General features: G+C 38.2%; 1 long non-coding RNA gene and 1 pseudogene across 1 annotated transcript in view; one reads left to right on the top strand and one right to left on the bottom strand.

The window, feature by feature from the left end:
* The window catches only part of PENK-AS1 (PENK antisense RNA 1), a 106,261-nt gene that overhangs the window by 63,092 nt on the left and 16,668 nt on the right, over positions 1-26,501 (bottom strand). The gene's annotated exons all lie outside the window — the stretch shown is intronic.
* Positions 10,698-12,346, top strand: SEPTIN10P1 (septin 10 pseudogene 1; annotated as a pseudogene).

Below are 26,501 nucleotides of genomic sequence, written 5' to 3'. Positions count from 1 at the left end.
CATTGGAGATCACAGTTCAACATGAGGTTTGGAGGGAACAAATATCTAAACCGTATCAGGGTACAATCTTTTTAAATATTGTTGACTTCTATTTGTTAATGTTAGTTTAAGATTTTTGTCTTTTTATTTGTGAATCTGTATGTTCTGGGGTGGCTGGGTGTCTGTGTGTGTGTCTACTGTCTATTTCTGTTTTTTGTGTCAAGGTAACACTAACTTCATAAAATGAGTTAAGCAGTATTCTCTCTTTTATTTTCTGGGAGAGATTGTATAAACCTGGTGTTAATTCTTCCTTAAACATTTTGGAGAATTTTCTAGTGAACTTATCTGGGTCTGGAAAGTTCTTTTTGGGGGAGTTTTTCAATTATAGATGTAATTTCCTTAATACTTATAGGGCTATTCAAATTATGTTTTACATTGGATGAGTTCTAGTAAGTTGTGTTTTTCAAAGGTCCATTTCATCTAAGTTGTTACATTTATGTGTAGAGTCTTTAGTAATATCTCATTTTTTTGGATATTTTAATGTCTGTAGTGATATTTCCAACTGTAACAATAGTCTCCAACTATACTTGTGGATTTGTCTAATTATCCTTTTAGATCCTTCAGTTTTTGCTTCACACATTTTGCAACTCTGTTTTTTGGTGTATATACATTTAGTATTGCTATACCTGCTGGGTAAGTTGATTCTTTTTCATTATATAACATCTCTCTATGTCTTTGATAATATTCTTTGCCCTGAAGTCTACTTCATCTGATATCAACAGAGCTAGTCTTGATTTCCTTTAAAAATTTTTGCATGATATAACCGTTTCCTTCCTTTTAGTTTCAACTTGATTATATCATTGAATCTTAATTGAGCTTCTTGCAGATAGCATATAGAAGGATTGTGATTTAAACTCATTTTATCCATCTCTATCCTTTAGTTGGTATATTTAGATCATTTACATTTAGTGTAGTTAAGAGATTATACTGAGCTGGGGTTAATTCTTCTTTAAACATCTTAGAAAATTTCCCAGTAGGCCTTTCTGGGTCTGGAGCTTTCTTTTGCGGGGAAGTTTTTAAATTATGAGTGTAATTTCCTTAACAGTTATAGGGCTATTAAAATATTTTAGGGCTTATGTGTGCTTTTTTTTTTCTATTTTTCTCTATTTTCTTATTTTTTAATGCCTTTCTGTGGGCTACTTAGACATATTTTAGAATTCCATTTTGATTTATCTACAGTGTTTTGGAGTCTATCTCTGAATAACTTTTTTCAATAGTTGTTTTAAGTATTTACATATATATTTATATATGTGTGTAAGTATATTCATACATATGTGTGTGTACAAAAATGTGATATAATGTGGTTTCATCAAATGAAATATCAAAATCTTATCTCCTTTTGTGTTCCTTTATCATCCCTCATTTATAATATATTTCTTAAATATTTTCTCTACACATATTTAGAACCACATCAGGCAATGTTATAACTTTTGCTTCAACTGTCAGACATAATTTAGAAGTCTAGTAGAGAAAGAAAGCCTATTATTGTTTTCATTTATATTTTTGACTGTATTTTTCTTTCTTCCTTGCTGATGTTCCAAAGTTCCTTCTTTTATCATTTCCTTTTTATTTAAAGAAATTCCTTCAGCATTCTTCAGGATAGATCTTCTGGCAACAAATTGTCTTTTCCTTTATCTGAGAATGTCCTAATTTCCTGTTTATTTCATGATATATTCACCAGCTATAGGACTCTAGGCTGACAGGTATCTTTTTTAACTTTTGAAAAATATTGTGACACTACCTCTGGCCTTCATGGTTTCTGATGAGAAATCCTCTGTAATTGTATTGTTGTTTTCTTATACGGTTAGGTATCATTTCTCTGTTTCTGCTTTTAAGACCTTTGTCTTTAGTTTTTATAAGTTTAACTATGATGTGTTTTGGTGATTTATTTAGGTTTATCTGGTTTGGATTCAGTCAGCTTCTTGAATCTAGGATTACATCTGACGCCAAATTTAGAAAATGTTCAGCCCCCACCCTCTTTTACGTCTCCTTCTGGGACTCCAATGCCATGACAGTTGGGTAGTTTGTTATAGTCCCAAAACAGAGCCCCCTGAGGCTCTGTTCATTTCTTTTTAGTCTATTTTTCTGTGTTATTTAAGTTGAGTGATTTATATTATTTTATCTTCCAGTTCAGTGATTATTTTCTCTGTTCCCCCAACTGGCTGTTGAGTCTATCCACTTAGCTTTTATTTTAATGATTATATTTTTCAGTTCTAATATTTATATTTGGTTATTCTTTATATATTCTATTTCTTTGAAGAAGCTTTCTGTTTTCTTGCTGTTATGGGTTAAAATTGTGTCTCTCAGAAATTCATAGGCTAAAGTCCTAACCACCAGTCTCTCAGAACATGCCTTAGTTAGAAATAGAGTTCTTGCAAATGTAATTAATTAAGATAAGGTCATACCAGAGTAGGTTGGGTCCCTAATCCAATATAGCCAGTGTTCTTATAAAAAGATAAAATTTGGACACAGACATGAACATTGGGAGAAAGCTATGTGAACATGAAAGCAAATATCACGGTGATTTGCCTACAAATCAAGGAACACCAAAGACTGCCAGCAAACCACCCCAAGCTAGGAGAGAGAGAGGCCTGGAACAGACCCTCCCTCAAAGCCCTCAGAAGAAATCAACCATGATGATACCTTGATCTTGGATCTCTAGCTTCTAAACTCTAAAACCTATTGCCACTTGATTTGTGGTACTTTGCTATGGTAGCCCTAGCAAACTAGCATACTTGCTAAGGCTTTCTATTTTTCTCATTTGTTTCCATTGTTTCTGTAAATTCTCATTAAGCTATTTTTATCATTGCTATTTAAAATCTTTTTCAGATTATTTTAAAATCTCTGTCATCTTGAAGTTGGCATCTGTTGATTTTTTTTTTTCATTTAGTTTCAGATGTTCCTGGTTCTTGGTAAAACGAGTAACTTTCTGTTGAAACCTGACATTTTTGTATTATGTTTTGAGATGCCAGATCTTATTTAAACTCTGCTTTAGCTCACCATCTCTGACACCACTCCAACAGGGCAAGGGGAGGAACTGCCTTGCTACTGCTAGATGGAGTAAGAAAAGTCCAGACTCTCCATTTGGTCTCAGCTGACACCTAAGGGGAGGAGCTCCTCATAAGTGCTGGGCAGGCATGGGAGTTCATGGTCCCCACAGGGTCTTCACTGACACATATTGAGGTGACCCCAATACTGTTAGGCAATGTTGAAAGTACTGACTTTCTACTCAGCTTCCTCTGATACTACCACAGCGGTGAGAAAGTGGAACGCCTCTTTACTGCTGGATGGAGGTGAAAGTCTAGGCTTTCTACAGAATATCTCTACTGACACTTTGGTGTGGGGAACTCTTGATACCTGCCAACAAGAAGAAAGTCTTTGCTCCCCACTTAACTTTCTCAGAAACCACCTGGCAGAGGTTTAAGGATACCTTATTGCAACTTCAGGAAGGTGGAAGTCTAAGCTCTCCACTCAGCCTTTGCTTGTGTTCGGGTGGGGTGGGGACTAGGTTTTCTGTGGTTTTTTGACTAGAGTAGAATAGCAATTGTCAAAAAGTCTTCTTCCTAAGCTACCCCTTTCTTGGTCTTTTGGCTACAAAGAACAAGCTTTTTTTTCTTGGAGTTTTTCTTGGGGAGTTGGGTGGTGGGGAGGTCTGAGTGATTTGGTGTTTCTGCGTTGCTGAGTTATTTGGCTCCAAGTCTGAGATATATGAAATAAAAAGAAAATCCAGAGAACTCATCATCACATTATTCTCAGATCTGAAGGTCCCTAACTAACCTGCGTTCTTCTCTCCACCTCTAAGAATCCTTCTTTTATATTGTTTTATTTATAGTCCAGAGTCTTTAGGTGTATTTAGCAGAAGGAATAGGAAAAAGTACATCTACTTTATCTTCTGGGAAGTGGATGTCTAAAAATATACTTTTTTTTTTTTTTTTTTTTTGAGACGGAGTCCTGCTCTGTCACCCAGGCTGGAGTGCAGTGGCAGGATGTCGGCTCACTGCAAGCTCTGCCTCCCGGGTTCATGCCATTCTCCTGCCTCAGCCTCCCGAGTAGATGGGACTACAGGCTGCCACCGTGCCCGGCTAATTTTTGTATTTTTAGTAGAGACGGAGTTTCACCGTGTTAGCCAGGATGGTCTTGATCTCCTGACCTCGTGATCCGCCTGCCTTGGCCTCCCAAAGTGCTGGGATTACAGGCGTGAGCCACCGCACCCAGCCTTTAAAATATACTCTTAAAACTAAAGAAAATTTTCCACCTATTTGCTAAACTGTCTTTACTGTTTTAATCATAATTAATACTATAAAACCATTCGTTGTTTGCTCTGATTTCTGAATAATAAAACGATATTTAAACATAGCTGGCTGTTTATATAAAAAAGAAAAGATATGGCCGGGCATGGTGGCTCACACCTTCAAACCCAGCACTTTTGAGAGGCTGAGGCAGGTGGATCACCTGAGGTCAGGAGTTTGAGACCAGTGTGGACAACATGGTGAGACCCTGTCTCTACTAATAATACAAAAATTAGCCAGGCGTAGTGGCGCACACCTGTAATTCCAGCTACTCGGGAGGCTGAGGCAGGAGAATCGCTTGAACCCGGGAGGTGGAGGTTGCAGAGAGCTGAGATTGCACCATTGCACTCCAGCCTGGATGATAAGAGCAAAATTCCGTCTCAAAAAAAAAAATGCTATCTCAAAAATTGTGCCACATGAAGTCACCCAAAGCCAATCTCCGACCTCTCATTGTTATCTAACAAAAACTAATCTATGTGACAGAGAAAATTGGATGAAACTTTTCAAAAACATTGGGATGAAAAATGTTCCCCAAGAAACACAATGAGTAACCCAATACTTCCATAATTAAGGAAAAACTGCAAAGGTAGGGCAAGACTTAGGACCCTACTCCATTGATCATTTGTGCATTTACAAGTGAATTTCATTCAGTTGCTTCAAAGTTTAAATATGCATTAATAATAATGTGTAAATGTCCTGGTTTAACTCAAACTCTTTCCTTACCAAAACACTAAAGCTCATTTACACACACAAAATATGTTAATACTTTCCCCACTTGGAAAGAAAATATTAACATACATTAATGACAATATGAATATGTCAATATTGTCCTTCCAAGTGGAGAATATATTCAATACTCTCCAATGATTAAAAATATACACCATGGAATACTACTCAGCCATAAACAGAAACTTCCTTAAAGCTCTGGGAAAACAAACTAAGATCATGATATATTAAAATAAAAATATTAAGGTCCTCAAGTTCACTTCCTGCGCTAATGATAACAGCCACCAGATCTACATCTCATGAAAGATGTACATCTGGAAGATTGAGTACGTTAAAAGAGTATCGAAAGTGAGACTTGACGCCCCATTGGAAAGAACTGCTTCAGGTTCTCCTAATTACAAATGTTGTCCTTAAGCTTCAGGACACACATCTACAGATACATGTGCCCTAATGCAAATATTCTTTGAATTCCATAGCCTGGGCATCAAGTACAAATGAAGATCTGACCCTGAGGCTCATGAAAAGATCCCTAGAAGCAGGTCATATGTTAAAGTAGACAGATTCCTTTCAAAATTCTATGGATTAAGAAGGTGTCTTCCTGAGTAGAGAGCTTCCTCCCAAAACCTTCAGACTGAAATCCTTGATGGACCATCAGACTTACCTTTGCATTTTTACCATATTATGCATCTCCTCATTCTCTTCTTTTCTTTCATAATAGTCCTCTTTAAATCTTTTCTCACCACCACACCTATAAAATGTTAAATTTGATAACTGGCCTCAAAGTACCCTATAAAATATTAACCCTCATACATGTATGAGACAGGGTCCGGCTCTGTCACCCAGGCTGGAGGTGCAATGGCACTGTCACAACTCACTGCAGGCTTGACCTCCTGGGTTCAAACAATCCACCCACCTCCAACTCCCAAGTAGTTGGGACTACAGGCACATGGCAACATGCCCAACAATTACCTGCTGCCACTGATACTTTCAAAGCTTTACAGGAATCCAAGGAATACCACAAAAGAAAGGGACATAGGCATACTGACAGAAACTTCAGTTTAATTATTTTCTCCTAAAGCAATGCAATAATCACTATATAATATTTTAATTCTAGCTATGATTGTCTCCCTCCAAAATCAGACAAACTAAATTTAGACATCTATTTTGGATACATTCATTTGACCTTTCCAAATATTCTAAAGAAACCTCCTAATTAGATCTTATGAGAAATCAGACATGACAATTTTAGGGAGGGATCTAAGACATTGACATTGGATTTCACTGGTTTGTAAAAGGATTTCTACTCTAGTTAAACTAGTTACTAAAGTAGAGTGTGTAATTTCTAACTTGCTTATGGCTTAAATAACAAAATTTAATTATTTAAAAAACCAAAATTTTAAAGATTATCATGAAATTGTTAACTAAAATAGCCCTAGGTAATACAATTATCCTTGATTGTTAAGCAGCCACTATGAAATGTGTGTAATAATTAATTTTTAATAGATGAATAGATGGGTAAACAAAAATAATCAATCAATTAGAGGTGAAAAGGTCACTTTGTTAACTGAAGTTGATCAGACTAATTATTGAGACTTACTCTGCTTATTAGGCAGAAAGTAGTTTTTAAAATGAATGTAGGCCAGGTGCAGTGGCTCTTGCCTATAATTCCAGTACTCTGGGTGGCCAATGTGGGAGGGTTGCTTGAGCCCAGGAGTTTGAGACCAGCCTGGGTAACATAGCAAGACCACATCTCTACAAAAAATTTATAAATTAGCTGGGTGTGGTGCCATGCTCCTATAGTCCCAACTACTTGGGAGGCAGAGGTAGGAGGATTGTTGGAACCCAGGAGGTCAAGGCGGCAATGAGCTGTGATGGCGCCACTGCCCCTTCAGCCTGGGTGACAGAGCAGACCCTGTCTCAAAAAAAAAACAATGAATACAAAATATCTTCAAAATATTTTTCATAACTTTTATGATTTTTATTCTGTGGGTTTTCCTTCTTCTCATGTCTAATATCCAGTAAACTTCTAACTGATGATTCTGCATCACAGAGACTAAACATTCTTAAAGTGAAATTTGCTCCTTTGGGAAATTCTTTTGACTGAAAAAGGAGAAACTAAGAAAATTTTTTTTGAGTAAAACAGTGCAGATCCTGTCTAACTAAAGCGAAGGTGCCAACAGAAGGATATTATGCAGACTTTATTCAGAGATAGCCTGTCAAGTATATTCAACAACTAAACTCCCAAAGTTTTGGCCTTGTTTTGTGGTGTTAGCTACAAGTTATTCAGTGTGTTTATCCCAAAAATAAAAAACAAGACTCACTGTTCCCAAACTGCCTAGTTTTTTCTCTTCTTTCTTCCTCTTCTTTTCTTTCGCTCCTTTCCTTCCTTTTTCTTCTTTTTTTCTCTTATACATCCTGGTTTTTTCCTTTGTCACTGATAAAAGGCTAAAAGCTCTTCCTTTCACAAACAAAAGTGAATTGCTGACTCTGTGTTACCCTTTAAATTATTAAATAAAATTAAACAGTAGCCAAATGTATCCCCCAAAATTCCAAGCCCAGTAGGTTTTACATGAAAATTTTACCAAATGTACGAAGAACAAATAATCACTACCTTGCAAAAATTGTTTCAAAGAAATCTACCAATTTATTTATTAAAAATAGAAGTGAAAAATGGACTAATATTATTTATAAACATAGATATGAAAATTATGAAAAATATTAATAAACTGAACCTAGCACTGTGTGTGATACATATGTGTGTACGTATGTGTATATGTGTGTGAAATTGAAAGGCCTTTCTATTAAAAAGACCTAGTAATAAAATTCCCCTCATTAATAGACTAAAAAATAAAAACAATACAATCAAACTTGGAATTCAGAAAAGGCCTATGAATATGTTAAACTCCTGTCATGACTAGAAAAATAATATTAACCCATTTATGCTGGAGGTTGCAATTTTTTGAATTTTTGCACAAGTGAAAAAATCAGACCTTGGTGATAACCTTGAGTAGTAGGATATAAATAACTCCCACATGCTTAGGGTTCCAATAATGGAACACTGGGCATAAGTGGGTTAATGAGGAAATGGAAGGGAACTCCTTTAACCTGAAAAAGAGCACCAAAACTTACAGCAAACATAATAATAAGCCATGGAGTGTTAAAAGTCTCCCTTAAAAGTCAAGAATAAGACTTATCGGGCTATTATCACTACTTACATGCACCACTTCTATATATTGGATATAGTGACATTGTACAAGACAAGAAAATAAAGTTATAAGGATTAGAAAAGAAAAACAAATTCTCATTGTTCTCATGTAATATATGGAAGTTTTAATAGAATTTATACATCAAATATGACCACTAATAGAAGAGTCCAAAAAGATTGTTCTATACAAAATCAGCATACCAAAATCAATAGCTTTCTTAAAAATTTGAACCAACCAGTAAAACTACTATAATAAAGAAGGCTTTTATTCACAATAGCAACAAAACAATTAAAGATAGAAATCAATATAAAAAGATGTCCAAGGTCTGTATTTAAAAATTTACAAAACTTTATGGAAAGACATTAAAGAAATTTTAAATAAATTGAGAGATATATTATGCCCTTGAATAAGAAACTCAATACCATAAATTTTGCACTGCACCCCAGTTAAATGGAATGACAATCAAAACCCAAATAAGATTTTTATGTTAAACTTCATAAGCCCTTATTAAAACTCTCATAGAAGACATAGTCAAGATAATTTTTTTGAAAGAGAAGAACAATAAGGACGGACTTGCCCTATCAAAAATCAAGACTTTGTTATAAGGCTATAGTAATTAAGGAGGTATGACTCCAGCACAGAGCTATATAACAGACTAATGAGGAAGTAAAGAGATGAAAACCAGATCCACAAGTAACTGAAGGAGGATGGACTATGCAATAAATAGGACTGTAACAAACATACCATATTCAAAAGTGAAATCTAGGTAGATTAAAGCCCTAAGTACACAAGTCAAAAATTAAAACTACCATAAGAAAATAGAGATAAACATCTTTATGATCTCCAATTTGAACACGATTTCTTTTTTAAAATTTGTAGTTGTGGCAAAAATATATATATATAATTCATCATCCTAACCAATTTATTTTATTTTTTGTTTGTTTTTATTTATTCATTTACTTTGCTTAGAGACGGGGTCTCTGTTGCCCAGGCTGGAGTGCGGTGGTGTGATCATAGCTCACTGCCACCTCAAATTCCTGGTATTAGTCTGTTCTCACTGCTATAAAGACATACCTGAGACTGGGTAATTTATAAAGAAAAGAAGTTTAATCACTTCACAGTTCTGCAGGCTGTACAGGCTTCTGCTTCTGGGGAGGCCTCAGGAAACTTACAATCGTGGTGGGAGGCAAAGGGGAAGCACACAGTCTTCACATGGCCAGCAGGAGAGAGAGAGCAGTGGGAGGTGCTACATACTTTCAAACAACCAGATCTAGTGAGAACTCTATCACAAGAACAGCAAGGGGAAGTCCACTCCCATGATTCAATCACCTACCAACACTGGGAATTACAATTTGACATGAGATTTGGGTGGGGACACAGAGCCAAACCTTATCACCTGTGCTCAAGCAATCCTCTTACCTCAGCCTTCTGAGTAACTGGGACTAAAGGCATGGGCCACTATGCCAAGCTAATTATTTTTATTTTTATTTTTGTAGAGACCAGGTCTCCCTATTTAGCCCAAGCTGGTCTCAAACTCCTGGCCTCAAGTGATCCTCCCATTTCAGCCTCCCAAAGCATTGGGATTATAGGCATGAGCCTCAGCACCCAGCCCATCTTAACCATTTTTAAGTGTAGAGTCCAATTGTATATAGTATATTGAGATTGTTGTGCAACAGCTCTCCAGAACTTTTTATCTTCAAAACTGAAATCTTATACCCATTAAATAACAACTCCCCATTTCTGTCTCCCCTCAGTTGCTGACAACCACCATTCTATTTCTGTCTAAATCTGACTACTTTACATGCTTCATGTAAGTGGAATCATACAGAATTTGTCTTTTCGTCATTGTCTTATTTCACTTAGTGTAATGTTCTCAAAGTTCATCCATCTTGTAACATGTGAAAGGCTTTCCCTCCTTTTTAAGGTTGAAAATTATTTCATTTTATATTTCTGCCACATTTTGTTTATCTAGTCATTCACTGAAGGATATCTGGGTTGTTTCTACCTCTTGACTATCGTGATATGTCTGTTATGAACATGAATGTGCAAATTTATCCTTGCGATCTTGTTTTCAATTCTTTTGGATATACACTTGGAAGTGAGTTGCTGGATTATATGGTAATCCTATGTTTAATTTTTGAGGAGGCTCCGTACTATTTTCCACAGCAGCTGCACCATTCTACATTTTCATCAATAGTGCACCAGGATTCCAATTTCACCACATCCTTGCTAACACTCATTATTTTAAGGTTTTTTTGATAGTAGCCATCCTAACCAATATAAGGTGTGGGCAGGATTTCTTCAGACACAAAAATCAAAAAACATAAGAAAAGGATTAATAAATTTTACTTATTTCATGATTTGAAAATTAATTTAATAAAAATCTTAGACTAAGAGCAGTTATTTGCAACATATTGAATTTAAAAAGGATTAGGGACTGCAGCCCTCCGGCCTTCCCGCCGCCGTAGCCGGGACCAGCAGCTCCGGGCCGGGCTGATACAGCCGCTTCACCGTGCCCCCGCCCGCGACCATGGCTCCGAGGTGGCGCGGCACCTGCTCTTTCAGTCTCACATGGCAACGAAAACAACTTGTATGTCTTCACAAGGATCTGATGATGAACAGAGAAAAAGAGAAAACATTCGTTCCTTGACTGTGTCTGGCCATGTTGGTTTTGAGAATTTGCCTGATCAGCTGGTGAACAGATCCATTCAGCAAGGTTTCTGCTTTAATATTCTGTGTGGGGGAAACTGGAATTGGAAAATCAACACTGATTGACACATTGTTTAATACTAATTTGGAAGACTATGAATCCTCACATTTTTGCCCAAATGTTAAACTTAAAGTTCAGACATATGAACTCCAGGAAAGTAATGTTCGATTGAAATTGATCATTGTGAATACAGTGGGATTTGGTGACCAAATAAATAAAGAAGAGAGCTACCAACCGATAGTTGACTACATAGATGCTCAGTTTGAGGCCTGTCTCCAAGAATAACTGAAGATTAAACGTTCTCTCTTTACCTACCCTGATTCTCGCATCCGTGTGTGCCTCTACTTCATTTCACTGACAGGCCACTCTCTGAAGACACTTGATCTCTTAACCATGAAGAACCTTGACAGCAAGGTAAACATTATACCAGTGATTGCCAAAGCAGATACGGTTTCTAAAACTGAATTACATAAGTTTAAGATCAAGTTCATGAGTGAACTGGTCAGCAATGGCGTCCAGATATACCAGTTTCCAACGGATGATGACACTATTGCTAAGGTCAACGCTGCAATGAATGGACAGTTGCCGTTTGCTGTTGTGGGAAGTATGGATGAGATAAAAGTCGGAAACAAGATGGTTAAAGCTCGCCAGTACCCTTGGGGTGTTGTACAGGTGGAAAATGAAAACCACTGTGACTTTGTAAAGCTGCGGGAAATGTTCATTTGTACAAATATGGAGGACCTGCGATAGCAGACCCATACCAGGCACTATGAGCTTTACAGGCGCTGCAAACTGGAGGAAATGGGCTTTACAGATGTGGGCCCAGAAAACAAGCCGGTCAGTCTTCAAGAGACCTATGAAGCCAAAAGACATGAGTTCCATGGTGAACGTCAGAGGAAGGAAGAAGAAATGAAACAGATGTTTGTGCAGCCAGTGAAGGAGAAAGAAGCCATATTGAAAGAAGCTGAGAGAAAGCTACAGGCCAAATTTGAGCACCTTAAGAGACTTCACCAAGAAGAGAGAATGAAGCTTGAAGAACAAAGAAGACTTTTGGAAGAAGAAATAATTGCTTTCTCTAAAAAGAAAGCTACCTCCGAGATATTTCACAGCCAGTCCTTTCTGGCAACAGGCAGCAACCTGAGTAAGGACAAGGACCATAAGAACTCCAATTTTTTGTAAAACAGAAGTTCCAGAGCACAGAAGGTCATCATCACAAGCAAAATTTATTAAAAACAAAAACAAAAACAAAACTAGAAGTGTGCTTTGATTTTGCTGTTTTTGTTTGTTTTATCACTTCTATATTTGGTGAACGGCCACAGTTACTGATATTTATGGAAAAGTACTTTCAAGTATGAGGTCAATACGTAAGCCAGAGTGAATGATACTACAAGTTGAGCATCTCTAATTCAAAAATCTGAAATCCAGAAGCTTCAAAATCTGAATCTTTTTGAACAATGACTTGACCCCACAAGTGGAAAATTCCCCACCTGACACCTTTGCTTTCTGATGGTTCAGTTTAAACAGATTTTGTTTCTCGCACAAAATTATTAAAAATGTTGTATAAATTACTTTCAGGCTATATGTATAAGGTGGATGTGAAACATGAATTATGCAATTAGAGTCGGGTCCCATTGTGTATACACAGATATTCCAGAACCTGAAATCCAAAACACTTCTGGTCCCTAGCATTTTGGATAAGGGATACTCAGCTTGTACCTATATATTCGTATATATTCACTGTTGTTAGAAATTTTTAAGTTGCTGTTTTGTGATGGATCTAAATCTTTTCTCTTGCTACCAAGCTATTGTCACTGCAGTGCATTATACCAAAGAGCAAAGTGTCAGTGCCACTGAAAATAAAGAACCCATTAATATCGTGGCTAACTGATTACATTTATATCCAAGATGAACCTTTTTTATATATAATAAAAATTTGAGGGAATATGTTTTGGGATGTATTATAGAGCTAAAACTCTAACCTCTTAATAGTTTTATAGAACTTAAAAATTTTTGATAGTTACCCAATTGGTGATACGATCTTAAGCTTTTGTGTCAGATTATTTAATATGATGACTTCATGCTTTATTATGCCTTATTATGGCTGATGTATTACTGTGATGAAACAAAATATCTTTAAAAGTTAAAACATCCAGACATAGAAACTCTTTTTTCCTAAGGATAAAGTACCTTTGAGCATGAGTGTATCACAGCTTTCCTTAGGAAAACTTTTCATTACATACTTGTTTAAACTCTGTCTTCCAGGGGAAAAATAATAAGGTTGAATCATTTTATTAAAAATACTTTTTAAGAAAATAACTATGAACATCTGAATATTAAAGATATAAAAATGCACATAATTCATATTTCAGGTGGTATTTGCATTCAGTGCCTTACTAGTATTCTCAGAACATTTTAATGATTTCTAACATTTCTTAACAGTCATAGATATATAAATTTTCATTTTTTGTACTTGAATATTCTAAGTAAAACTGACATTTACTCTTGACAAATAAAACATATATATATTTACTAAAATGTGTTTAATTTTACTTTTTGAAAACTGTCATTTTAAAAATATTCAATTAATTATGTATTTGAATTATTTTGGAGATGAGGTATTTTATGAGTATTTTCAGACAATAAAACTTAATTAGTCTGTGTCAAAAAAGAAAAAGATTAGGATAGAAAATGGCCAGAGAATATGCATACTTCAGAGAAATAGAATCCCAAATGATCAATAAATACATAGAAATATGTTCATCTCACTTGCTATAAGGTTAGTACAAAGCAAAATAACAATGAGGTGTCATTTCATACCCATCATATGGGTGACAATTTTAATATCTGGCAAGTTTTGGAGAAGATGTGAAAAATGGAAATTTCAATACTACTGCTGAGAGCGTAAGCTGGTACAACTCCTTCATAGAGCAATTTGTCAATAACAAATACAATTAAAAAGTAGTTGGGCATGATGGCTCACACCTGTAGTCCCAACTACTCCGGAGGCTGGGGCAGGACGATCACTTGAGGCCAGGCATTTGAGACTGCAGTTAGCCATGTTCACACCACTGCACTTCCAGCCTGGGTGACAGAAAGTGCCCATACATCAACACCCTGGTCACCCAAGGTAGGTGTATTTCCTGAGCAATTCTTCAGGGATATTTACTACAGCATTGTTTCTAAAAGAAATCACCTAGATGTTCATAGTAAGGTAATAAATCACAAATTGTGGCTTAATCATTCTAGAAAGCAATTTAAATGATTAAAATAGAAATAATTGTATTAACATGGATAAATCTCAAAAACATAATAATGTCCTAGAACACTTACAATCTGATATCATTAAATGTGATTTTAAAAACACATAACACAATCTTGTATATTTTATGAACTCAAATGGACGGAACAAAATGTAAAAATATGAATGAGAAGACCTACACTGTTCTAAAAGCTGGCTCACTCTGAAGGCAGAGATAGGGAAGTAACACGGAGGAAGAGAGCAAAATAGGCTTTACAATCTGAACAATTTGTTCCCTTGAACATGGAAAATATGCCAATATTTATTATGGACATGCATCTAGGTAGTGGGTATGTGTTTGTTTTATTATTCTGTTTTCTACGAGTATTATTTGCATAAGAAAATGAATATGAGTGGACAAAAGAGGCATTTAAATTTATCACTATTCCATTGGCTGTTGTTTAAGGGTCAGGTTTGTATCTCATTTCCATGCACTTAGAATCCATCATTTAGTTCACAGAGGAACAAGCTATAATAATTAAAAATTCATGTCATTCTTCTACCACAGCAGTCTTGATAATACTTAAACATTCGAGTCACTCTTCCACCACAGCTGTCTCTGCACAGAGGCTTCTCCTATCCTTGCTGGCTCCATTGCTTCTTACATATATAAAATGTTTCATTTGCACCACACAAACTACCAAAACTATAGTTTAACTTTTAGAGAGGGCAGAGGTATTTTTTTCAGAGAACCCCAGTCTTAAACTACATTTTCTCACTCGTTTGGCAGTTCAGCTTACTGAGAAACAATCTCATCCGTGCTTGTTCATTATACTTTGTTAAGTATCTGCTGTGCAATAATTGTGGGGGTTTTTGGTGTATGGGAGAAAATCTAACCTTGACAACAGTAGCCCCTCACTCCCTGATTTGCCCCAGCAAGTAGGAAAGCCAACCTGGCTACCAATTAATCTACTGACTCCATAGATATTTACTGAGAACCCACTCTTTCCCAGGCACAAAAAAATAAGTTTAGTATCAAATACTACAACCAAAATACTATGAAGTGAGCGTGAAGTGGAGACCACCATTGGGGTTCAACGGCGGCTTCTCCTATCCTTGCTGGCTCTGGACCTCTCAGGGCTGAGTGGTAGTCTGGTCCATGCAGATGAAGGCAGGGAAGCAGAAGGGAAATGAGGGTTAATAGTGAAGCTAGACATTGACATGTCAGCCCCATGCTAAATGCAGTGTTCATAGCTAAACGCAGATTTTTAGAACTGCAAGGGTCCTTGCTCATTTTATAAATGAGTAAACTGAGTCCAAAGAGATTAAGTCCAAAGAGATTAAGTCCTTTCTCTAGATTTTATGGTCCTTCTAGATCAGTCACTTCATAAAGCTTTTAGAGCCAGCAATAGAATGCAAGGCTCCAAGTAGATTAGCATGTGTCCAGCAAGCCACGTGGACCAGAGGGCAGGAGCTGCTGGAGCCATGCCCCTCCCAGGGCCCCTGCGATCCGGCCTCCATCTGTGCATCCAAACGCCTGGGCAGAAGCCAGTTCTTATTCCCAAAATAAGCTGGAAATCTCAATTTTTTTTAATATTTTATTTTATTTTATTTTTTTGAGATCAAGTCTCACCCTGTCAGCCAGGCTGGAGTGCAGTGGCACCATCTCGGCTCACTGCAACCTCCGCCTCCCAGGTTCAAGCAATTCTCCTGCCCCAGCCTCCCAAGTAGCTGGGATTACAGGCATGCGTCGCCATGCCCAGCTAATTTTTTGTATCTTTAGTAGAGATGGGGTTTCGCCATGTTGGCCAGGCTGGTCTTGAACTCCTGACCTCAGGTGATCTGTCCACCTCGGCCTCCCAAAGTGCTGGGATTACAGGCATGAGCCACTGCGCCAGGCCGAAAATCTCAATTTTTATGGAAGATCTCTTATTCTTAAATGATGGAAGCCAATTCAAAACTTTAAAACATACTATATGAGCCATGTGTGGGCCGAGTTCCAAGCACTGGTCACTATTTCACAATATCTGCTGTAAAGAACTGGGTCTGAGGCCTTATCCTGGCTAGACTTTATGGCTCCTGAATGCAGGAAAAGAAAACAAGTTACGTTCAAAGCTGCTCAATGTTTGAGACATCTGAAATTTATTTTGATGTAAAGCAGAAGTCATAAAACTGATTCATTTGTACCTTTGAAGATTACAAAGAATAAAATTGCCCACCTGGCCCATCCAGAAAGACCATAATTATCAGGGATCTATCATCAGGTCCTGCGGTGGGAAGGAGAGAGGACCAGGCTACACTCAGTGATCCCAATGCACTCGCACCAGAATGCTTCTTCATCCTCCCATATCCCCTCTGCCTCATCCTCCCCACAGCCTTATTCTCCCAGCTCTTTCCTCTCTTCTCTTGGTCACTGAGAAGTAGTCAGAATGGAGATTGATAACTGAGGGCAGTGTAGAAAAAGTCTGGGAGCTTAAGCACGTCCAGGCATAATTCTGCTTATTAACAGAAACAAACATTTACAGAGTCTTTAGTATGTTTCTCACCCTATTGTAAGCACTTTCCATTTTAATCCTTAGAATTCCATGAGTGAGGTACTACGATGATGATCCCTTTGTAGAGGAGGCTTGGAGAGGTTACTACCTTAGCCAAGGCCACAAGTAGCAGAGCTAGGACCAGGGACCAGATGGTTCCAATCCGAAGCCTCAGAGCCCCAAAGCGGAGGGCTCCACCACCACCCCCCCATTGTCCTGTTCACGCGATTTCATCCTGTTCACTTCTATTCTCACGACACATCACATCATTCAGATTTCTTAACCCAAAACAGAGTAAACATGAAACAAGTAAAAGATCGTGTACATGTGGGAATGTTTTTAAAAAGAAACATTTTAAACTGATATTTAGAGTAGTCTGTCTTGTCTTTTCATTATAATAACAGTAAAGTCTGTCCTGCAGCAATGAATAAGCGGCTTCTGGGAAGGACACAGAGATGAGCTCATTCCTGGGACTTGCACTTTCTTTTTAAGAACTTCAAGAGCGGACTTGGAGGAAAAGACCTCTGCTCTCTAAAATACCACTGCTTGATAGAGAGCAGTGTTTTCCCTGTATTTTAAATGAAAAGGAAGGCTCACATCCATGTGTATATGCATAGTATGGCATGTGTGTGGAATGGTACATATGTGGTGTAGTGGGGGGAGGATGTGTATGTGTGTATGAGTGTGGTGTGTGTGCATGTGTGGCATGTGCATGTGTGGGGTAAGTGTATGTGTGATGTGTATGTGGTGAGTATGTGTGATGTGTGTGTATGGTGTGTGTCCCTTTGTGTATGGTGTGATATGTGTGTGGTTTAGCATGTGTGTGTGTACATGTGTGGTGTGTGCATGTGTGGGCTGTGTGTGTGTGTGGTGTGTATTTGGGGTGTGGTATGTGAGGTGTAGAGGGTATGATATGAGATGTATTTAGGGGAGTGTACATGTATGATGCATGTGTATCTGTATGTGTGAGTTTTTTGTGTGTGTGTGACAGAGTTTCACTCTTGTTGCCCAGGCTGAAGTGCAATGGCACGATCTCAGCTCACTGCAACCTCTGCCTCCCAGGTTCAAGCTATTGTCCTGCCTCAGCCTCCCGAGTAGCTGGGATTACAGGCATGCACCACCATGCCCGGCTAACACTGTATTTTCAGTGGAGATGGGGTTTCTCTATGTTGGTCAGGCTGGTCTCAAACTCCTGACCTCAGGTGATCCACCCACCTCAGCCTCCCAAAGTGCTGGGATTACAGGTGTGAGCCACCACGTGTGGCCTGTATGTGTGACTTTTAAAGTTACACTCAGGACAATCAATTTAGCCACGTGATCTAAGGTCCTGAGATTAAGCCATTAGTCGAGGCCACATCCATTTGTGTGTTTTCTTCCTGCAGACAATCCTTTCCTAAGTACTATCTAATGGTTCGACTGCATGAGAATCATATGGGGGACCTGTCACAGTGCATAACCCTGGGGCCCCTCCAGGTCTCAGCATCAGAGCCCCTGGGCATGGGCTGAAGAATCTGCCCATTTATCTAACAGGTGTCCCAGTCAATGTCAATGCACTCTTGTAGGAAAGCCACTGCTATAAGCTATGGTTATATAGACGAATGTCCCATTCAAGTATTTCAATTGCAGATACTCCAGATAAAAGGTAAAAAATAATTCGGGCATAGTCAATTTTTCTCTTACTTTTCTGGCATTAACTAAATAAGAGGGGGGAAATAATCTTATCCCTTATTCCCATCACACACACAGACATACACACACTCAGATGCACACAAACATTTGCACACATATGCACAGAAAGGCAAGCCCATTTATGTTCTCAGCTTCTAAATTCTTTTTTTTTTTTTTTTTTAATTGAGACAGGGTCTCGCTGTCTCACATAGCCTGGATCTCAGTGGTGTAAACACAGTTCACTGCAGCCCGAACTCCTGGGCTCAAGCAGTCCTCTTGCCTCAGCCTCCCACAATGCCGGGACTACAGGCATGAGCCACCACGCCCGGCCTGAATTCGTTTTTATTTGACAAGCACATGAAGCCTTATCAGACGGAGGCCTCAATCCTTTGGCTGGGGTTTATAAGCAGGTAGCGCTAGACCTTCCCATTCTACATAAGCTGATGGGCACGGTAATAGCTGGGGGTTTTCTCACAAGTCAAAGACAAATTGTCTGTTTTCAAGCGTGTGAAACAGTTAATACGTTTGAGGTCTCTCTCTTGCTTCATAGGCCATCTTGGCTCAGACATTCTACAGACAATTATCATTGATGTTACAAATGAGGACTTTCCAAGTGCAGATGCTTTCGACCAGGCAGCACCTCCAGCAGGCGGTCATTAGAGATCTTGGGCTAACAGGTCTGACCCTCATTTTTCACACATATTCATTTAAATGATTTGAAAGGTTTTATTACCTAAATTATAAACTTTCCTGTGACAAACAGCATGATAAGAATAAACAGGTAAAATAGAACCAACACTGAAATCCAGAAAGAGGATAAAAATAAAGTGCAAGCCTCATTTAGAACCTTCCTTTGATTTTCCATCCAGTAATGACCCACTCTCCAAGCCTAGGTCCGAGTGCCAGGAATGAAAGGATGGTTCTAAGTGAAATGCACTCCTGCCCTGTGTTACTCCAGAAATATTGCCATTGCTTTTTGGACAGAAAAACTTCTTCCTTCCCATGTCTGTCCTTCCTTGCTTCTCTCTTCTTATAAACGTTACCACACCATGGAACATAGTGAGCCTGTTGCAGTAATTCATCTGAGAAGCATTGAAGGCCTGCACCAAGGCAGTGAATATGATGATTGAGAGGAGGTGACAGGTTCAAGAGACATTAAAGAGGTAGAATCATTGTGATGATGGGAATGAGGGATGGGAGGCAGAGAATCAAGGAAAGGGAGAGGCCATGGATAACAGGCAAGTTCTCGGTTTGAATCCCCAAATATCAGATCTTACAAAGTCATATGCCTCCAGGAGCCAAGCGAGTAAAATGCACTAGTAAAGAGAGCCTGGGTAAGGACAGTGGAGACTATGAGAAACTAGAGAAGGCAGGCAAAAGAGAAGCCTGGGACTCCTCAGTCCCAGCCAGTTGCTGCCATCTCAGAACCAAGGCCAAGGGCTTATACAACTTCTTGTTTCTAAGACAACCCAGAAATCCTGGTTTTCCTACAAAAAGCCTGGTTTTAAAATCAGTATAATTAATGTTTAAGTATTAATCTTTATTTATAGATTTTTAAAATTTTTATTTTAGGTTTGGGGGTACATGTGAAGGCTTGTTACACAGATAAACACGTGTCACTGGGGTTTACTGCACATATTATCACATCACCCACTTATTAAGCTCAGTACCCAATAGTTATCTTTTCTGTTCCTTTCCCTCCTCACACCTTCCCCCCTCAAGTAGACCCCAGTATCTGTTGTTTCCTTCTTTGCATTCGTAAGTTCCTATCATAAAATATAGATTTTAAAAAAAAAATTTAAAACACTGTATAGACCAAATAGAACACGTTGTGGGGGATGTTAAGGGCTGGACGTAGCTTGGGGCTTCCAGTTTCAAGCCTCAAAAATAGATGATGATACTCGCCAGGTGATATGGTTTGAAGTTTGTGTCCTCTCCAAAATTCATGTTTAAATGTGGTGGCACATGCCTGTAATCCCAGCTACTCGGGAGGCTGAGGCAGGAAAATCACTTGAACCTGGGAGGCAGAGGTTGCAGTGAGCTGAGATCATGCCATTGCACTCCAGCCTGGGCAACAAAAGTGAAACTCCATCTCAAAAAAAAAAAAAAAAAAGTAATCTCTAATGCAATAATATTAAGAGTTGTGGCCTTTAAGGGGTGATTAGGTCATGGGGGTTCCTCTCTCATGAATGGGATTCTTCACACAGAATTTAGCTCCTTTTGCCCTTTCCAGCCCTTCTGCCACGTGAGGACACATCATTTATACCTTCCAGAGGATGCTGCACCTTGGAATCAGAGAGTCCAGTTCCTCACCAGACACTAAACTTGTCAGTGTCTTGATCTTGAACTTTCCAGCCTCCAGAAATGTGAGAAATACATTTCTCACATTTATAAATTACCAGTGTCAGGCATTTTGTTATAACAGCATAAATAGACTAAGACACAAAGGTAATAAATTCCTTCTCTCTCTAGATAATGTGGTTTTAAAAAAATAAAATAAGATAAGATAAATCTATAATCTGGTCCAACTGCCATGGAAACTCAAGATCAGAGAGGAATCTGCTTTCATCTGATTCAACTATCCCTCTGATTCTTGGATTGTCTCTTTTTCTATTTGCCTGTGACCCAGAGATTCCATTACTCTGTGAATGCTCTAATGGCCTTGAGCTGCGTCAGCTGCCTACACTGTACATCTGAGCACAATAATGTTGCTTTGAAATTTGTAGTTACCTATCTTTTTTCTCTGTTCTTAGGCTTTTCTGCTGAGATAACATAAATGAGGATGTGATTTGACACTTACTTTGTTAAGATGAACACTGGATAATTTGAATGTCAATCAAGTGTAGAAAAATGTCCACATTTAAAAAATCAGTCAAATAATTGTCACATCACTTCACTCTGCTTTACAGATGTAGCTCAAGCTATGAGAATCCCCAGAGTTTTACATTCTGAGTGCTTTTTAATGGTCTTTTGAAACCTAAAACAAAATCAGTTTGATTTTGAAAGTGATACCTTTATTCAAAAAAAAATTATTGAGTGCATATTATATATCAGTACCTGTGCCTACATGTGGAGAATAAAAAGGAGACTATGGGAAATCACACATAGGGTAGAACAGAAGACATTCACTATTAATTTTAATCCAAGGTAGAACAATGTTATTACTCACAAGAGTTTGTCCCTTCTTAGTAATAATAAGGCAGAACTAGCAACAAACTATTGAAAAACAAACTCTTAAAATAGTACTATTTGAAAAATCACAAAATGTGTGAAATGCTTAAGGTTGAACTTTACAAAATTTGCACAATGCCTACATACTTAAAACTACAAAACATTGCTGAAAGAATTTTTAAAAGACATGAACAAATGAAGACGTGTACCATGCTCATGAATTGGAAGATACAGTCATGAAGATGTCAATTATCCTGAAATTAATATGCAGATTTAAATCAAATTAAAATTACATTAAATTTAAATTAGGTCCAATTAAAATCCCAGCAGGCTTTTTTTCGTAGAAATTGACAAACTAATTCTAGTTATTAATTGAAATGTAAAGAATCTATAATAGACAAAGCAATTACAAAAAAAAAAACAAAGTTAGAGGATTTACACCATTTAATTTCAAGATTTAATATAATGTAACAGTAATGAAGACAGTATGGATTGTTGGCAAAAAGACAGACACACTGATCAGTGATATAAAGAATCACAAAGAATTTAGACATAGATCCACACATATGTGGTCAGTTGATTTTTTTACCAAGTTGCCAAAGTAATTAAATGGGAAAACAATGTTATTTTCAGTAAGTGGTGCTAGAACACCGGGTATTCATTTTGGGGGAAAAATGTACTTTAACCTTTATCTCACAGCTGACACAAATATTAACTAGACATGTACCAAAGACTTACACATGACAACTAAAGCTATAAAACTTACAGACCAAAACAAGGACATTATTTTTGCAACAATGAAGAAGGAAAAGATTTCTTAGATGGGACACAAAAGGCATGAGCTATAAAAGAAAAAATGATAAATTGTGGACTTCATCAAAATAAAAATATTCTGCTCTTCAAAAGATATAACTAAGAAAATAAAAAGGAAAGCCTGACAGTGGAAGAAAATATTCACAATATGTATTTATAACAAAGAACTTGCAGCCAGAATATATAAAGAGCACTTACAACTCAGTCATAGATAAACAACCCAATAAAAGGTAAAACATGCTTTTGTTTTTGTTTTTTTGAGATGGAGTCTAGCTCTGTTGCCCAGGCTGGAGTGCAGTGGCATGATCTCAGCTCACTGCAACCTCCGCCTCCTGAGTTCAAGCAATTCTCCTGCCTCAGCCTCCCGAGTAGCTGAGACTACAGGCATCTGCCACCACCTCCAGCTAATTTTTGTATTTTTAGTAGAGATGGGGTATCACCATGTTGACCAGGCTGGTCTCGAACTCCTGACCTCAGGTGATCTGCTCACCTCATCCTCCCAAAGTGCTGGGATTACAGGTGTGAGCCACAGAGCCCAGCTTAAAATAAGTAAAATATGTTAATAGAAGCATCGCAAAATACATAAATAACCAAAAAACACATGAGAAAAAGCTCAACATGATTAGCCACCAGGAAAATGCAAATTAAAATCATTTGATGACACTACACACCTATTGGACTGGCAAAAATTAAAAATTAAAAAAAAAACCCAGATGTCTCCCATTCACTGAGAGTGAATATACAGGAGGACAGATTTGAAGAACAGAAGATTAAAGTAGTTTAACATATGATAAGTTTGGATTGCCTGGAGCACATGTACACTGAGATATGTCCATGTAGATGCAGAAGCCTGAGCTAGAGGTAGAGATTTATGAACAAGTGACGTATAGATGAGAGGTTGTATTAGTCTGTTTTGCACTGCTATAAAGGAATACCCCTGACTGGGTAATTTAAAGAAAAAAGATTTATTTGGCTCATTGTTCTGCAAGCTGTACAAGAAGCATGGCACCACCATCAGCTTGACTTCTGCTGAAGCCTCAGGAAGCTTTTACTCATGATGGAAGGCAAAAGGAGCCAGCATGTCATATGGAGAGAGAGGGGGAGGCAAAGAGGAGGGGAGGCAGAGAGGAGGGGATGGCAGGCTCTTTTTAACAATCAATTCTCACATGAAAGAGTGAGAACTCATTCATTACCATAAGGAAGGCATCAAGCCATTTATGAAGAATCTGCCCCTCATGACCCAAACACCTTCCACTAGGCCCCACCTCCAATATTGGGGGACCACATTTCAACATGAAATTTGGAGGGGGGAAATACCCAACTATATCATTCTGTCCCTGGCCCCCCTAATCTCATGTCCTTCTCACATTGCAAAATATAATCATCCCTTACCAAGAGTACCCCCAAATTTTAACTCATTCCAGCAGCAACTCAAAAGTCTGAAGTCTAAAGTCTCATCTGAAACTCAAGGGCAGTTCCTTCCACCTATGAGCCTCTGAGATCAAAAACTGAGATGGAACAGGGAACCCCCCCACAACCTAAGGAGTCTGGGGGCCTCCCAAGCATGGAAGTACAGGGAAATCTTTAATTACTACAAGGGAAATTCCAGACACCTGGCTAGCCATGAGAAGTAAATGAGCAGCTTGATAAGCAAGAAGGTAATAATAGCTTAAAATAATAGCCAAGAAATCTAGAATCACAGGATTCTAGATTTTGTTCCCCTATAGAAACTAAACATAACACCTAACATATGGCTCTGAGTTGTTTTTCAAAAATCCATATCCACACCAACAGATGTACTGGCATATAGATTTCAGATAAGAGGGAACTGAAGACTGAACTTTGACCATCATTCTTTGTTCTAAATTTGTTCCTGAGGGGCCTGAAAGGAGTCACATTCATGGGCCAGAGATAACATTCTTTTCTGATGATCCCACATTTTTAAACAAAGCTTCTCTTCCTTAAGCAATTGCAAATCAGAAAATCTTGGGATGTCACCCTTGCATTCTGTGTGCCTGCAGACTTAGCACCACACAGAGGCTGCCAAGGCTTATAGCTTGCACTATGCTGAGTGGCATCCCAAGCAGCACCTGGGCCCTTTGAGCTGTGGCCATAGCTGGAGCAGCATCCCAAATCATCACAGGGCAGCAGTACCCTGGGCTTGGCCCCCGAAACCATTCTGTCCTCCTAGACCTCTAGCTTTTTTTCCCATCATCTTGAATATCAGCACCTAGCTCCCTTTCAGTCACGTTACTGTCTCTAGCAAGTGGTTGCTCCATAGCTTTCTTGGATTTCTCTCGTTTGGATTCCACTCCTTTGGATTCCTATAGTGAAAGCATTCTTTCCTTCTCTACCAGATGGCCAGGCTGTGAATTTTCCAAATTTTTATGCTCTGCTTCCCTTTTAATTTTAATTTCCAACTATGGGTCCTTCCTTTGCTCTCACATCTGATCATAGACTGTTGGAAGCAGTCCTGACACTTCTTGAATGCTTTGCTTCCACCAAAGACCCTGGGTCGTCATTCTTACCTGGGACATCATTCTTACATTCAGCCTTAGAATGATGAACTTTCATAAAGCCTTCAACAAAGCCCTGCAACCTAGACACAATGCAGCCAAGTTCTTTTCTAGGTCATCTTTGGTCTAGTTTCCCAAGTTCTTCACCTCCATCTGAGACTTAGCCTGGACTTCACTGTCCACATTTCTATCAGCATTTTGCTCACAGCCATTTAACCAGTCTCTAATAAGTTCCAAATTTTCCCAATCATCCTGTCTTCCAAGTCCTCCAAACTCTCCCAACGTCTCCCTATTACTCAGTTCCAAAGCTGTTTTCACATTTTTAGGTATCTTTATAGCAATGCTCACCTCCCCAGTACTAATATTCTGTATTAATCTGTTTTGTGCTTTTATAAAGGAATACACTTGACTGGGTTATTAATAAAGAAAAGATTTATTTGGCACATGGTTCTACAAGCTGTAGAAGAAGCATGTTGCTAGCATCTTCTTGGCTTCTGGTGAGGCCTCAGGAAGATTTTATTCATGGTGAAAGGCAATGGGAATCATGGTGTCACATGGTGAGAGAAGAAAAGGCAGAAAGGAAGTGATGCCAGGCTCTTTTTAACAATTAGTTCTCATATGAAATTATAGAGGAAGAACTCACTCATTACAAGAAAGGCACGAGGTCATTCAATAAAGGATCAATCCTCATGACCCAAACATCTCCCACTAAGCCCCACCTCCAATATCAGGGATCACATTTCAACATGAGATTTGAGGAGACAAATATCTAAGCTATATCAAAGGTAAACTCCTGGAGAAGATAAATTTTCCCAAGAAGAATGTGTAATTTGAGATGAGATGAACCACAGGACAAAACCAGATGGAACATCATCATTTAAGGGACAGATATAGGAAGAAAAATCCAGGAAAGAGTAAAAAGAACAACCAAAAAGGTAATAGTGAACAATGTCAGGGAGAATACCTGGAAAGAGTGAGGGGACAATGGTGTCTAATACTGAAGATATGATAAGTGGTATAATAACTGAAATAGGTTTGTTGGGTTTTCATCTAAAATGTTATTGCTTACTGTAACAAGTACAATTTCACTGGAGTGATAAGAATAAAAGCACATTTTCAGTGGAATAAGGAAATCATAGAAGATAAAGGAGAGCTACCAAAAAAATTAGACCATTCTTCAACAATCTTAATTGTGATGAATGAGTTAGGATAGAAGTTGAGACAGAAGTTTTTAGGAGAATCATTATAGATTTGAAAAGTGCTTTTGTAAAAAATCAGAAGAAAAATAAGCAAGTTTATATGTTCAAAAGGATATATACGGAGTAAGAAGCAATAGAGAGAAAAAACTGGCAATGCAAGAGAGAAAAGAGTAAGTAATTAGCTACTCTCTCCCAGCAAAGACCAAAGATACCAGGGAGGCTTCATTTTCAGAACGCTCTGGCACATTTTCCAGACATCTGTATACCTGCAGGCCTGAGGGAGCATCATCCCTCCCCACTGCAGGTTCTCACTAAGAGTGGCTGAGTAATCTCCTTTCTTCCTATTTCACTCACACTACCTCCTACCCCATCCCACCAAAGGCTTCCTACAT

The sequence above is a fragment of the Homo sapiens genome, chromosome 8, assembly GCF_000001405.40.
Source record: "Homo sapiens chromosome 8, GRCh38.p14 Primary Assembly".
Lineage (NCBI taxonomy): Eukaryota > Metazoa > Chordata > Mammalia > Primates > Hominidae > Homo > Homo sapiens.
This window is presented reverse-complemented; position numbering and strand designations above follow the sequence as displayed.